Below are 16,408 nucleotides of genomic sequence, written 5' to 3'. Positions count from 1 at the left end.
TATAAATGCATGATAGTCACAATAAGGCAGTATTGTGATTGACAGAAAGGCACCAACAGATGCTTTCGAAAGACATACAATTTTTTAAATTATATAAGATGCAGATATCTTTGCAGAGATAAGTAGAGCAGTTGATAGCTCAGCATGCTCCCAGAGGGAGGAGCTGCCTTATAGGCCTCAAAGTTTCCCACAAGCACAGTCAGCTGTTCATGAAGCCACCTGTGTGGAATGAGGAAGCTGGACTAGTGGAAGTTATGCTGGACTAGTTTCCAGAACTTTGGAAAAAAACAAAAACAAAAACTGACATTTCTACTTCCTCTCTCTTTGTGCACTCAATTTTGGAGCCCTGAGGCACCATGTAAGAAATATTTGGCTACCTGCTGTGACGTGACCCCAGAGAGAGGTGCTGGTGGATGTTGATGTTGTGTGTAGGTGTTCTGGCTGAGCACAGCTGAAGTCTTTGCTGGCAACTAGCATCAACCATCAGACATGTGACTGATGGAGTCTTTGAGAAGATTCCAGCCCCTAGCCTTCAAGTCCTTCCAGCTGAGGCCCCAGACATAGCAGAGTAGATACTCCATCATGATGAACTCTTTCCAGATTCTTGAAGCATAAATTCAGCAAGTCTAATAAAATAGTTGTTTTAAGTTTCTAAGTTGTGAGGCAATATGTTACACACAGAATAGTAACTAGAATAGCAAGTACTCCTAAAACATACCAGCCTCAGTTTCGGTGCCTCAGCACAACGACAGTCTTTAAGTTTTGGAGGACACTGAAGTGGGGCGGGGGGGTGGGATGCAGTTTGGAAATAACTTCAGACAATGTAGATATGTCCCTTGCCAAGAAGTATGCTCATCCTTAAACCCCAGTATTTTGAATTGCTCTATTAATACTATAAGTGTCCTTCTAAGTTCATATGCTTAGCAGTTTGTGAAACCTATTTGGATGCTGTGCTATGAGTGCTACTTCTATTTTGGGATTGTCCTAAGCTGCTTTGTAAGAGATATAACTTAATGATGCTGAGCCTTGGCCTTGGGATGAAAAAAACATAATTAATAGTATAATTTTATAACCATACTTATCAGACAACTTTCAGGACAGTTTGTTCCAGCTTGTCAGTATAGGCTATTAGTAACAGCAAGATTGACAGTTTATACCCTGTTCAGGTGTGATGCCAGTGGACTCCACCATTATGGCAAGTCACATAACAGTGATGACCCTTTGGATCAGTAGAATATGAGAAGACCCAACCAAGACTTTATTTTGAGCCCCTGTTTTCTAGGCGTTCCATGCACATGTTGGATGTCACTGATGCAAGTGAGAAAGTGCATCCAGTATGGCCTCGCAAAAAGGAGGACAATTGGAGCCTGCATCAGACCACTCTGGACCCCTTGCTGTAAGACAGCCTTTGGCTGGGATGCATATTCTTACTAAAATGCTCATGCTATATTTTATCCTTCTCCTTCAGTAAAGTGTAGATTTGTAAGAATTGTGGTTAAGTCTTAAGAGTCTTCTTTAGTGTCTTTTTTAAATCTTCTGCAGGGAAATAAAGACTTTATCATCCTAGGGTTGGTAGCTGGGTGTACAAACAAAACAAAACAAAACAAAGAAAAACTGAGAACAGGAAGATTAACAAGAGAAAAAGCATACAACTTTATTAATTTTTAATATGTCCACAAGGGAATTATAAGAAAAAACTAATACCGCACAAAACCATGAGATGTGAGAGTTTACAAACCATTTTAATAGGGAAAGGGAAGAGAGATGTTGGTTACTTAGAGGAGAATAAATGATTTTTAGGAAAGATGAATGGGTCCTTAGGAAGAATAGATGGGAGATAATGATAGATTCAGACAAAGTTTGTCAGGGTGTTGTCAACTTCTAGTTTCTGCTCCTGTAATAAGAGTCCATCTTCCTAGTTGATGAAACTCATGGGGAGATGGTTTATAACAATGGAGTTTATTTTGGAAGATTTGTCTTTAGGTAGGCAAAGGGAGTTCAAAGAAAGATTCTCCTTTCATTTGCTGTTTTTCAAAATGCCTCAACCTCAAAATAGTCAATATACCAAAACTTATATTTTGGGTATATTCTGGGGTGCCATCTCGTGAACTACGTCGCTGTTATATTTTGGGGTGGTATAGTCTTATTTATAACACTTCTTTAGTGTCTAATTGGCATAATTAGTGTGGATTTCTTAATTATATTTTTGTACTGGTTTGACAATACACCAACACATACACATAATATGCTCACATCATTAGCTACTTTATTGGCTAAGCTCCTCCTTTGCTTACCTCATTCTATGGTGACTTCTACTCTTTACTATTTCTGAAATTCACTATAGTTTTGACTGAGACCAAGGGATGAAAAGGCTGCTGTCAAGATAAAATATTAAAGTACATTTTTGAAGTTGAAAAGATAAATACCGCAGTTCTGTGTACTACTAGGAAAATACACATAGCCCATTGTAGGAAATGGCTTTTTTAGTGACAAGGTCAAATAACATATTTCCAGAGACTCAGAGAGATGTATTGGTGTTTATTCAATATTCCCTTACCACCAGACAGTTCCCCAGTGAAGTTTTCCATTTTAGAGAAAGTCTTCTTGCTTTGGTCATTAAAACAGTGCCAAAGTACTAAAACATATATAGTTGTTTCTTGGTTTTCTAGTTTTTCTCTTTCTTGCTGTCATTCTCCATCAGTTTGAACTTAGACACAAGCATATGACTTGTTTTTTTTTCCCAATGAAATGTCATCTAAAGTAATATAAGTCACTTTTGGATAGAAATAATAGACAGAAGACAATTTTCCCAGTTCCCTCTGCAGGTAATGAAAACACATGACAAGATGGAATCTCTTTCAGCCTGGGTTCCTGAGTAACTAGTGAGCATTAGTCCCTAAGTGACAATGCTGGACATACACCATAAACAAGAAATAAATTTTTGAATGTTAAGCCATTGGTGGGTATTTGTTACTGTAGCATAACCCAGCTTAACCTAGCTAATATCCCTATCTTATGTCTGAACTTCTGAGATATTATACCCTATGTAAATTCTAGGATAAATGATTTGTTGACTGGTTCTTTTATAGAAACTAATCTTCCAAAGTTTTAAAAAAAAGTCCTATTTTATTCATAGGTTTGAAACAACATCTTTACAAATCATGCTTCAGCTGTGTTTTTATATGCGTAACTAGAAAAGAATCTTTCCAAAAATCTGTGTGTTGAATTGTAAGATTAAAAGGACACATATATATTCCTTGAAGGAGCCATTTATTTCTTCTCTTGATTTTCCTGCAATGATGTGGTAACTATGCTTTCAGTCAATGCCCTACTTCAGTGGTTACTGGTTACACCCATTTTTGCATGATTGCAAAAGGAATACAAGCAACCATAATTTTGAAATTCATTACAATGCCAGGGTTTATATGCTCTCATTAAGCATTAATTGGTAGTTGATGGCTATTGCTATTTTTAACACCATTAGTTCATAGCAATATAATTAGTAACGCTAAGTACAGGAACCACATTAATAGCATTACTAATTGTAAATCTGGAGATAGAAACACAACATGACTGGTTAATTTCCAGGCAATATTTCATGATAATTAGCTGTAGGACATTTGTACTGAACTAGAAAGGTAAGTAATTTAATTTTTTCTACAATTTTTTGGGGGTTTGAAATACTAATATCACCCTTTAACATATGGATCTCATTTCATCTTCTTATGTTAACATTCCTTCCTTTTAGATTCTCTTTTGTTGTATGCTAAGTAATCATTCAGTTTTCTCCCACAAGGAAAATATATAGTCATTTAAAATTTTTATCATTCCATATCAAGTCTTAAGGACAAAATATCTTAAATGACTTACTTCTTATATTATATTGTAATTGATTTCCAATGTTTTGTGTTTGCCCAGTGTTTAGTTTGATATGCCAACTCTCTTTACTCATTACCCTAGCAGTAGCAAACTGGCCAACTTTACGTCTTTGCTAGTGAAATTTTATAACAGTAGAATTAAGGGAAAATTTTTTACAAGCTATAATAAGTAAACTAAAAGAAAAAACCCAACAACTAGATATTCTATACTTAAATGCATGCCACTTGACATGTAGTGATTCTCCGGTCACATTGTATGGGGTTTAACAGTCTGTAGTACTTACTTATATATACTTCAGTACCTACAAGGGTGGAGAACAATTCTTTAATTGTCATCTTATTTACTTTCTAAAGGACAGGGCTTAGAAAGCACTCTCTATTTTTTTTTTCTTTTCTGAAGAATTTTGGTATAATATGTATGGGGTGATTGAGAACAATGAGACACTCTACTTATAGTATTGGAGTCATTTTGTAAGAAATTATAAAATAGATGATTTAATTTTTTATTAATCCTTCTAAAATTTTTTTTTTTCAGTTAAACTGAGAAGCTCTTCAGAGACAATTCTGGTAATATGCCATTTCAGGCACGTCTTTGTGTTTTGCTTTTGGATTTTTAATGAACTAGATTACATCTGAAAATACCAATTTTCCTCTCCTGGTTTTCCTTGTTCTTTTTATATCTCAGCCCACATGTATCTTGCTGCTTCACTGATAAAGGGGAAAAGGGCCCAAAATGATGATTTCAGCATGTTTAAACTGTGAATGTGGGTAGACTCTGATTTATAATTGGATAAAATTGGTAAAAATAAGTTAATTGATTACTGAATTAGTTTAGAATGTTAACTCAACTTCACATTGTTTGCTTTTGTACAATGAGGGCAAGAAGAAAAAGAAAAACACATGGTTGGTGAAAATCCTTAAAGAGTTTATTTTCCCTATTGGCATTTGAGGATTTTGCAAGAGTAGTAGCTTTATTATTCTCTTTCTCAAGTTTCCAACTTGTAATAGAATGTGTGTTAACCTGTCAAAATGTGTGATGCTATCATTTAGTTGTAATTAGTTAACGATTATGTCATTTCTTTTGGCAAGGCATCCCTTAGCTGATGAAACAGTCTTCTAGTCACTTACAAAATACATATATAAACAATAGGGAAAGCAGCATTTGGAAGGCACATGATGATTCTTTATTTTCCATCACATTAGCACATTAATGTGTGGTGAGTTTAAAGAAGTGGCATGAATAAGTTACCACTCTGTACTGTTGGCAATATTGACGTTTATGGGCAATTTAATTTTAAGTCTACAATATGTGATTTAATACAGTGCTGCTTTTCCAAAGACAGAGTATGAAGGTAATCTTTGTTCAATAAAACACCAAAAGAAAATCAATTATTTCATCCTGCTGGTGATGGTTAAGGTTAGTAGAAATAGTACTACCAGTTGCTTTACTTTCACCAAGTAATTATTTTTGAAGTAATAGGTAGTAATTAATTAGTGCAGCTAATTCTTACTGAAAAATCTTGTGTAGCTGAGTGAAAGAGGAGCATTTCAACTTAATGATAAAGTTATTAGGATATTTTTCCTTGTGAAAAAAAGGCCTTAAGGTTAAGAAGTTGGTAACATGATTAAATTTATTTTACTTTTGTTTTTGGAATTTGGGAACAGAAAGAGCGGCTTTTTTTTTTTTTTTGCATGTATCAGATGATAATGCGTATCTGAAAAAGCCAAGGCAGGTAACAGAGCACGTGACGACTTATTGTGGGGAGTCTGTGTACTCCAAGTGCGGCAATTCTCATGCCATCTGCCCCAGACTACATAAGCTTCCAGAAAGCCTGAGGTTTCCAGGATAATATGTGGTCAGTTTTTTTTTTTTTTTTAAGTTAATACCTGTGTGAATCTGTTGTGGTAACAAAGCATATATGTAATGAAGGCAAGTTTTATGTTACCTCAGCAGGATTGGACTGTGAAATGATACAATATTCAGAACTTGAATAGCCATGCACTATCTGAAGCAGATGCACACAAGCCTGCAGTCTCAGAGGGATGCCCTGGGAAATACTGAGAAGACAGTATTTTATTGTTCCCGATCTTTATTTATCTACCAGCAGATGTCCCTATAAGGCAATAATATCTTATAGCTAGGCCAGCTGATTATGAAAAATCAGAAACGGAACCACTCATCATATTTCCAAAGATTAATGGGATTAAATCCACCATGTACTTCAAAATGTTTCCACAGAGACATAAAGTGCAGTGCAGTGCAAAAGTAAATTTAGTTTACTTCTGAAAACCACATGGAGCAATTTTTTTTTTAAAAAGAAATTCTAGGAGTTCTCAATCTTTATCAGCACTAAAACCACTTTCTAAAATAAAATAAAATCATTGATTATCTCTGTGCTTTCAGGTATATAAGTATTCATTTAGTTAAAAAATAAAGTGTAAAAAATGACTCTGAATTCGGTAAAATATTTCTTAACTGGGAATATTCTCTATATACATTCTAAAGACTAGATGCAAATTAATGTTTCCATGAGACACATTATTCAACTTGCAAACAATTCAAAATGCACATATAGATTTAGGTACTCTGGCAATACCTCTGTAACTTCCCAGGGGTCTGTATATAAAAGTTGTAAACCAAAAGCATCCTCTATTCTACCGTTTTATTCAGTGATATGCCGCTTCTTGATGGATGAAAAACAGTGTCAAGAAAACTTGTTGTAAATAATAAATACTGTCTTACAAAGTAATTTCTTCATTGAAAAAACATACTAAAATACAAAGTCATTATCAGTACTCATTAGCATTTCTATTTTGAGAATTAAGTAGGTTCATTTGTTTGTCTCCATTTTTGAGAGGCAATTGCTATAGAGGCCAGAAAACTAAACTAGATGCAATAAAAATTACGGATTTTAAAACTATACAAACAAAAATTTCTAACTATCTTTGCCACTTTCTGGCAGTGTGTTAGGGCAGGTTATTCAACATCTGGCTTATGTGTCTTCATTTGAGAATAACAGTAGAAATCTCATGGAATTAATGCAACATTAAATAAAATAATTTATGAACATACTGGCACGTTATAGGGATTCTAAAAATATCTGTCCATTTACTTTGCATTTCTCAGTCAGTTCTTTTACATTTTATGATCTCTGTGAATATAATTGACTTCTTTTTTTGGGAGAAGTTGCAATTAATTCCTGTTATGGGAATTAGAAAATAGGTCATGATCATGGAAGAGGCAAAATTGGTGCTGGACCTAGAAGCATTTTTTCAGGCAAAAAAACTTTTTCAAAAAAATGTTCAAATAGTAGAGATACTTTACAAAACAAGAGTTAGACTAAGCAATGAATATTCTATTGCTGAGCTTCTCAATCTCCACGGAATTCATATACCCTAGGCTTCTTCTCTAGTGCTCAGCCAATATTGCAAGTCCTAGATCTACGTAGTGTATGTTCATGGACAATCTGTTTCCCTCAATGGCAAGTAATTTAAAAATAATATCTTTATATCAAATGGAGTAGAAAACCAACTTCATGTGTATTTTTACACGAAAACAGAAGTTTTAAAAGCCCTGTTGACATTGAAAGAACTCAGAACATGCCACTCCAAAACGTGCCACTCTGGCATATTGATTATTTTGAATTAAAAGAATTTGAAAAACAGTAGATGCAAAAGGGCACTCTGATCTTCCTTCTTTTCTTCCCGAAAGAAGGAAATAAAACTTCCATGTGAAAGATGTCTTCCCTGCACTTGGAGAAACTAAGACATGTTCATCTCCAGAGATGGGGAGTGGAGACCAAGAAAAATGTATACAAACAAACCTTGTTAAATTAACCTTTATCTTTCTAGTTACTAGTTACTTTTTCACTATTAACTGTCTTAGCCCAAACTCCTTTCTCTTGTTACATTTTGTAATTTACTACTCTTTGTTCAACCCTGTATGTAAGTGTTTGGCTCTGTTTCTTTCAGTCTTTAATATATCCTTAGAACGCACATGTACATGTAAAATTTTACTGAATAAAATGTGTATGCTTTCTCCTCTTCATTTGTTGATATCAGTTTAATTTTTAGGCCCAGCCAGAAACCCTAACAAGGTAGAGGAGAAATTTTTCCTCCCCTGCACCATACACTCACTGTCTCTACAAGTATGGGCACTTTGGTAGAGATGTTTTAGAAACACACATCACAGAGTCACATGAGAGGGAGCCTTTGGATGAGCACCTTTACTGGAATATTAGAAACTATGGGGTTGTAGTTGAGGAAACACCTGGAGGAGGTGAGTGTCAACCCTAAACATCTCTAAAGAAGACAAGGTCAGGTAGGAGAATCTGGAAGTGGGAGTGTGCCTGGCACAGGCTTCCTGGTAGTAAAACAGAGGGATTTCTGAAGCTGAGTGTGATGTGAATCAGAGAACAAACTGCTGAATAATATCTCTTCCTTTAATAAAATAATGAATTTCTTGGATGTGCTTCTTGAAGTGTATCCCATTATGCTTTGCGGACTTAACATTAGGGAACAGTTCCTTAGAAACAGTTCTGGAATCACCCAAATAATGCTGTTCAGGGACAATGATTTCTAATTGACCATTTTCATATAAGATATAATTTAGCTTACTTGGAAAAGCAGTGACTCACCTTGTTTCAGGGAATCCGTGTACCTAGACTGATATGTGCTATGACTTGAAAGTCCCTTCCAAAACTAATGTTGAAATGTAATTGCCATTGCGATATTGAGAGATGGGACTGTTAAGAGGTGGTTAGGCCAGAAGGACTCTGCCCTTATGAATGGATTAATGTCATTATCACAGGAGTAGGTTTGTTATTGTGAGAATGGGTTGTTATAAAAGTGAATTTGGCCTTCTCTATCTCTTGCTCTTGCCTCTCTTGCCCTTCTGACTTAAGTCATGCGATGACACAGCATGAAGGCTCTCAAGAGATGCCAGCACCCTGCTCTTGGACTTTCCAGCCTCTAGAGCTGTGAACAAAATAAACTCTATTGTTTATAAATTATGCAGTCTTTGGTATTCTTTTACAGCAACACAAAACAGACTACAGCAGTATGTGTTATGCAATTGTGTGAATCTTTCTGGAGAAATGTTCCTAGTTTTAAGCAGATTCTCAAAGCAGCCCATGACTGCAAAATGGTTGATAATCACAGGTCTAGACTGAAAGAACTGTGTATCCTCAGACAATCTCTTTTCCTATTGTTTTATTCTTTTTAAATCACTACTAAATGTTTTAGGAAAAGTGGGTGGTAGGTTATGCTCAACAGCTGAGTAAGGGCAGAGTCATGCTTTAATAATCATCCCAGAAAGGGGGAGGGAAAAGGCGAAATGTAAGTAAAAATAAAAATGAGAGGTAGGAGAAAAACATAAAATGTAAAGTTCTAAGTGTTGAAAACCAAATGTGGAAGAGGTTTCTAGGCAAAGATAAGTGTTTGTTGGTGATTGGACAAGAAAGCAATATCAAGCAGAGTGAAGGTGAGAGCATAATAATGAATGGGAAACAGTGATAGGTTGGTAAGAGTAAGAGAATGTGAGTCTTCAGTGGCCACAGGATGCTCATAGGATACAGCATGATAAAGACCATTTTCTCAGGAAGTCTTTCTCATTTCTTTTTAAAGCACATAATTTACATGAAAAGTTTTGTAATAGCAAGTTACATTTTAATATTAGATCTTGCTAGGAAAAAGCTAAGCACAAAGCCACCTTTAACTTTCAGATTCAACAAAGTATGTCTCCAAGGGTTTTGAAATTAATATCATCCTGCCACTAACACAAACAAGTAAAACTGTAAATAAGAAATAAGATGATAAATGAGGAAAAGAGAGGAAGAAGTGAAAAAGGTTTGTTTGTTTTAAACAACAAAAAAAAAATGAGAGGGAAAAAATTTAAAAAAAATTCTTAAAGTCTGTGTAATTAATATTTTCATCTCTTTAGAAATTAAACTGGTCTTTACAGGTGGTTTATCATTAACAGCACAAAAGGAATGGATTACAAACTCTGAGGTATGAAGGTGAAATGAGAGAAACGAATTTCAGAGATCAGTCAGTAGATGCTGAAGCAGCCTGTGAGAAAGGCTGTCCTGGAAGGATGGCCATTTACAAGAGAACAGAGCCCCATCACTTTGGGTCCATTTTCATGGCCCTGTGCCTCCTACTTCTCCTCATCTGCCTTATCACCTTGCCAAGGTGAAGGAATAGAAAAAAAGAAATCACCTTTGCAGGTTCCTAACAACCTGAGACTTTGAAATTCCTTTTATTCTTTCTATCTACCCTCAAAAGGGGAAAATATTTAATCAACATACTTTTTTCTTTTTTGTCTGGGAGTCCTCTGGCTTTCAGGCATTACCAAACTATAATTAAGAAATGCTTTACAGCTTGAACCAGCTCAGTTTTTTTTAACACATACCCTTTTTATTTGAAATGGAAAATAAAAATACTAATAAGGGTTTCCTTTGTCTAGTCTTGGGACTAGACACCAGTCCCCAAGCTGACAGATACTAGATCTCAAATAATTTAGAATTATCTCTTCACATAGATAATGAAAAACTCTGAAGGTTCTATCCATAAGGTTACTGTACTCATTAATTCTAGTCCCCAAATTTTCACAATGAAGGTAGATTCGTTGCTTTTACAGTGAGGTGGTGATACTTGAGCAAATGTCAAACTTCATTTATAGGACATCTGGAATGATCCAAATCTATTTGAGGGTGTTTCCTCTTACCTCTACCCAAATCCCAATGTACAACTTGAACCTTGGTTCTGAGAGTGAGCAGTTTTCTTGGAAGTATGATTGGAGAGCTGGAAAGGCAGCCTGTATAATGGGTCCTGGAAGATAGCATAATTCACAAGGAGGTAAATTGTTTTGCGATTCAATTTCTAACTGCTTGTTCAACATGTCTACCTTGATGCACACAAGCCTTTGAATTCTGTATGTCCCAACCAAAGGTATCCTCTTTCTCTGTTCTTTATTGCATTACCCTCTTCTAAGTTACTCAGGATCAAAACCTCAATATATCTGGAAAATATATATTTTTCTCTCTCTCCCACATGTCTAATCAGTAACCATGGTTTCTTTCACTTCCACAATATTTTTTAGATATATGTTCCTTTTCACCAATGCCTTTGCTTTTGTTCAGGTCATTTCCTCTGGTTTGAATTTGGCAACTGATTTCCCAGCCAATAGTCTCCTTCCCCCAGTGTACCTAGTTAACTCAGTTTTCTGAAAGTACTACTTTGATCATAAACCTTCACTCATACTCCTTCCTCCAGGAAGTGGAGCTTGATTCATCTCTCCATACCACCCCTTCAACACGCATACAGCCAACCCTTGACTAGATTTAAAGACTTATTTCTAATGAACAGAGTATGAGAATGGAAAAATAGTAACTTAACAGTGGAGTGATCTGGTAGATACTGCCTTAATCAAATGATGGAGGCTAATACCACCAGTGATGTTATGTTGGTATCATGTACTCTCTAATAGTATGCAAGAGAAGGGCACTTTGCCTCTATGGTACTCACTTCCAAAACCCACAACCTCAGTCTGAAAAAGAGGAAATTCTACATTGAAGACATGCTTCAAAGTTCTCAAAGTTTTGAAAACCTGAGAAACTGCCACAGGTCAGAGGAGACTAAGGAGGCATGATGATTAAAAGTGTTGTTACAGCATCCTGTATTGGATTCAGGAATATGAAAAAGACATTAGTAATTTGCCAGTGTTAATTTTCTGGTTTTGACATATGTGCCATGATTATTATATGAAATATTAACATTAGGGGCAAATGAGTCAAGGTATACGAGAACTCGGTAGTGTCATCCAAACTTATTCCAATGTAAAAACAAAAGTTTATTTAAAAAATCTCTGGTTCTTACTTTTACACTGTTGGTGGGACTGTAAACTAGTTCAACCATTGTGGAAGACAGTGTGGTGATTCCTCAAGGATCTAGAAATAGAAATACCATTTGGCCCAGTCATCCCATTACTGGGTATATACCCAAAGGATTATAAATCATGCTGCTATAAAGACACATGCACACATATGTTTATTTGCTATTCACAATAGCAAAGGCTTGGAACCAACCCAAATGTCCATCAATGATAGACTGGATTAAGAAAATGTGGCATATATACACCATGGAATACTATGCATCCATAAAAAAGGATGAGTTCATGTCCTTTGTAGGGACATGGATGAAGCTGGAAACATCATTCTGAGCAAACTATCGCAAGGACAGAAAACCAAACACCGCATGTTCTCACTCATAGGTGAGAATTGAACAATGAGAACACTTGGACATAGGATGGGGAACATCACACACTGAGGCCTGTCATGGGGTGGGGGGAATGGGGAGGGATAGCATTAGGAGATATACCTAATGCAAATGACGAGTTAATGGGTGCAGCACACCAACATGGCACATGTATACATATGTAACAAACCTGCACGTTATGCACATGTACCCTAGAACTTAAAGTATAATAAAAAAAATCTCTGGTTCTTGATTATCAAATATAGTTGTGTATAAGAACTACTATAAAAACTTTTTAAAAACATGTATTTCAGGGCTATATCCTTGGAGATACTGATTCTGTTGGCCTGGACAGAGTTCAAGAAGCTGTACTTTTTAAAGACCCTCTTCAGAAAGATTCTGACATGCTGCTGGGTTTGGGAATAACAGTTCTACAGAATTAAGCAAAGTAGATTGCACACTATCCCAGGAATTTGTGGGCAACTTGAGCCTTTAAGCACTCACATTCTTTCCTCACAACCAGAAAATAATTTCATCTTTGCTTAGCTCACAGGGCTTTCTGAAAGTCTTAGATTTTGCTTCATGTGTTACTCACCCATTATCTTTACTCTCTGTCTCTCTCTCTTTTTTTTTTCTGTTTCCTGGAAGGAAACATAAGTTGAGGTATATAGATTTTTCAAATAGTGAATTTCCAGCCCATTCTAAACTTACTCTTTCATAGTGAGAAACCTAATGAGACAGCAGCCTGGGTTAAACAGACCAGATGTTTGAAAATAAAAATTTTATTTACTCCCAGTTTGTGGGTTCATCAAAGTACTGGTAAGTATTGTCCATCTCATGTGTTTTAATAAATAGATAAGAACCAAAGTAAGCTGATCTTTAATTGATTTTAGGAAAATAGAAGGTGCTCTTAAGACAATCTGTAGTCCCTTGATAGGTTAAATAGTGTTTTTTTTTTAAATTAAAATAGCAAAGCTTTCCACATATTTTATTTGATTTAATCCTCAGAATAGTCCTGTGAAGTAGGTAGTTATCAACTCCACTTCACAAATGAGACGATTTGGGCACAGAGAGGTTAATTAATTTTTCCAAGATCATACAGCTAATAAATGGTGAGGCCAGGTTTACATTCCAGGATGTTGACACTCAGGGACTACTTTCTGATCCACTGTGATGTACTGCTGCCCTATAGAAATATGTTTGGCACAACTATAAAGTAGTGAAAAGAATTTGTTACTCCAGCTGGGTCCAGACTACTCTAAATGCTAAAATTGTAAAATTGGTGTGCATGGCTGTATACCACTTGCAGAACAGTTAACTTTAGATTTCTAACATATTTTGCCATAGTTTAAAAGTTCTCATCAAGTATGGCCAATGTTGCATGCGTGTGTGTGTGTGTGTGTGTGTGTGTGTGTGTGTGATTTTTCTGTCAAGGCTTTTTGGTATGCTATATTTGATTCTTATATACTAGGCAGCTAGTTTCGAGATTCTCCAAGGATAGGAAGATTTGGGATCCAAGACAGTATACTGTGTGTTAGGTGTCCGGAGGTAGGGAGTAACATTTTAAAAAGCAGCAATTTCTTTTTAAAGGGTCAAGAAAGTCAGGTAGAAATCATGACAGGCTGACATCAACTAACCCTCTAACCCCAGGCCTCTACAAAACTAACTACACTAACCTCAGGTCTCTACAAAATGACTGGGTATTTTTGCTTGTAATGCATTCTCATTGAATTTCACAAAACAAATAAATAAAACAAGCCTGTGTTGTCACTTCTGAAAAACTCCAGTCTATTACAATGAAGAGAGAGCACCTGTTTAAAAATATTCTGGGTGATAAATCACAGAAGGTTGCATTAATCAAGGCAGCCTAAAGCTGATAAGTGCAATTATGGATTTGTCACCCTAGGGAAATATCTTGATCAAGGTTCCTCAAACCCCAGCATAAACATCCCTGCAAACCTCAAATACTTGCCCAAAGACGGCTGCACCTAATTTGGGGACTTAGCACATCTTATCCTTAGGGTATTGAAAGCCTTCTGGCAGAGCCTTATCCAATATCCACAGTAATGAAACCTTGTTCTGGAGAGATCTATTAATGGTGTAATGATGGAGTACCCCTACTACCAATTGGCAGCAGTCTTCACACATCACAAGCAAAGAGAAACAAACGCAAATACAAAACTTGGGTCCTGTCTCCTCCTATTTTCATATATTACAGGAATTTTACATGAATTAATGGATAGAAACTAGCTGGATCTCACTATTCAAAGAGATGCCTACACTTACCTTAGTTGATTGTTTTTAAATGTTATAAAATAGAATTTTAAGGCAATATCATAATTCAAAAAAGTATGAAAAATATATTTAAGATCAAAATGTGAAAAATTAAGCAATCATTGTTGCATATTATTTTTAAATTGTGCATTTTTCATTGGTAGTTGATATCAGTTATTGTGTGTGGTGTCATCAACAAAATATTTTCTTTTTTCTATATAAACAAAATTTGGAAAATCTGGATGCTGAAATATTCAGAGCTTCTAAATTCTGGTGTTAATGATCTAATTTCATTTTAAGGGCTATGTCTGCCCCCTTCCACCAAAGTTTTTTCTGCACATTGCAGGCTCCACTGTTTTTATTCCTTCTGATATGAAACCACATATCATCAACTGCTTCTCCCATAGTTTTGTCTTGTCATAATAGACCTCACAGATCTCACATGGTATTGTTGTGTGGCATTGCTAATTAACACTTTTTGTGTACATCCTGTATCATCCTATTACCCTCTAATAACTGATAAGTCCCTTTGGGATAGGAATTACCACACTCTTGTATTTTCAAAGTTCTTATTCCATCTTATACTCAATTTACATTTGATAAGCAATAAAGTTTTTATTAAAAAATTAGTGCCACTTGTGCTTCTTGGATAATATGGAATTCTAAATTATAAGATGTAAAGTTTCCAGGAAGGGATGCCAGTGTAGGAGAGAAAAGATTTCTTTCCTCACCCATTGCTAGGTTCATGGTTGAGACCCCTATTATAAAGGATAGATATGAAAAGTATACAAATTTATTTAATGTAAGTTTTATGCGACATAGGAGACATCAGAAATGAAGACCCAAAGAAACAGAGAAAAGGCATATTTTTATGCTCAGTTTGATGAAGAGCAGGCAGTTGTGTAGAAGTGTGAACAAAAGGGAGTGTGATCTAATGGTAATACACTGGGAGTAACAAAAGTTTGTCCAGATTCTTGACATCTCTGTATGACATTTCTCTTCTCCAGGTATCAGAAAGGACACTTGTCATAAGAAAGTCTTTGGAGAGAAGGGAGGGAAAAGATCAGAAAGTGACCTTCCTAGGTTTTCTGGCTTGCTTCAGTGTGAAAGGCGAGGGGAAGATGAGAGCGGCCTTCCTACTTCTGCTGTTTTCTCAATTTCTGAGGTATCATATTTTGGGGTAGTGTTTTCCTGCATTCTCATCACCAGAATGTTTATGAATTTAATGTACAACAAAGGTGAACATTTCAATTAAGCAGGAAAGGATGATGAATTTAATAAATGATAGCAGCAACTTGTTATCTAGAAAATTTCTATGTAATTCTTAAATGCTTGATTAAATTAAGTATCAAAGTAGAGAAAAATAAGGCAACAATTATCTTAGAAGACATGTAAGTGATAATATTGACAATATAGGATCAGGAGAAACTTTTAACCAAGGCAGAAGATACAAACATTTTTAAAAGGAAAGATAGACTTATTTGACTAAATTGAATTTAAAACTTCAGCCAGACACCCCAAATAGTAAATAAATTACAGGCTTTTGTAATAAAACAACAACAAAAAAACAGCTCCACGTATCTTTTTTGAACAAAGGGTTACGAACCATATTTAAAAACTTATATAATAAGAAAATAAACAATTTCATAGAAAATAAACAAAAACTAAATCTATGTGAATAAACCTTGTCAAAAATGTCCAAATATTATAGTAGCAAGGGATATTTAAATTAAAGTAACAGTGTTATATCATTTTATTCCCATCAAAACTTAACTAGTGCTGCCAGGAATATTGAGAGAAAAGGATATTCTTCATAAATGTTATCTGGTAATGTGAATAATTACAGCCTTCTTGTAAAATATTTGATAACGCTGGTTAAAATCAAGACTACATATACTATATTCCAGGTTAGAACTCCTGGGAATCTCTTTCATAGAAATAAAAACATCAGCAAATAAAAATATACATACATGAATATTTATTGCTGCATTGGTAAGTAT

General features: G+C 35.4%; 1 long non-coding RNA gene across 1 annotated transcript in view; it reads right to left on the bottom strand.

The window, feature by feature from the left end:
* Positions 1-16,408, bottom strand: part of LINC02046 (long intergenic non-protein coding RNA 2046) — a 119,066-nt gene that overhangs the window by 27,050 nt on the left and 75,608 nt on the right. Inside the window, exon 4 of the long non-coding RNA NR_146712.1 lies at positions 10,606-10,709. This is a non-coding gene — a long non-coding RNA (long intergenic non-protein coding RNA 2046). The remainder of the gene's footprint in view (positions 1-10,605; positions 10,710-16,408) is intronic.

The sequence above is a fragment of the Homo sapiens genome, chromosome 3, assembly GCF_000001405.40.
Source record: "Homo sapiens chromosome 3, GRCh38.p14 Primary Assembly".
NCBI lineage: Eukaryota > Metazoa > Chordata > Mammalia > Primates > Hominidae > Homo > Homo sapiens.
The sequence above is the reverse complement of the archived record's forward strand: the minus strand, read 5'-3'. Positions and strand labels throughout refer to the sequence as shown.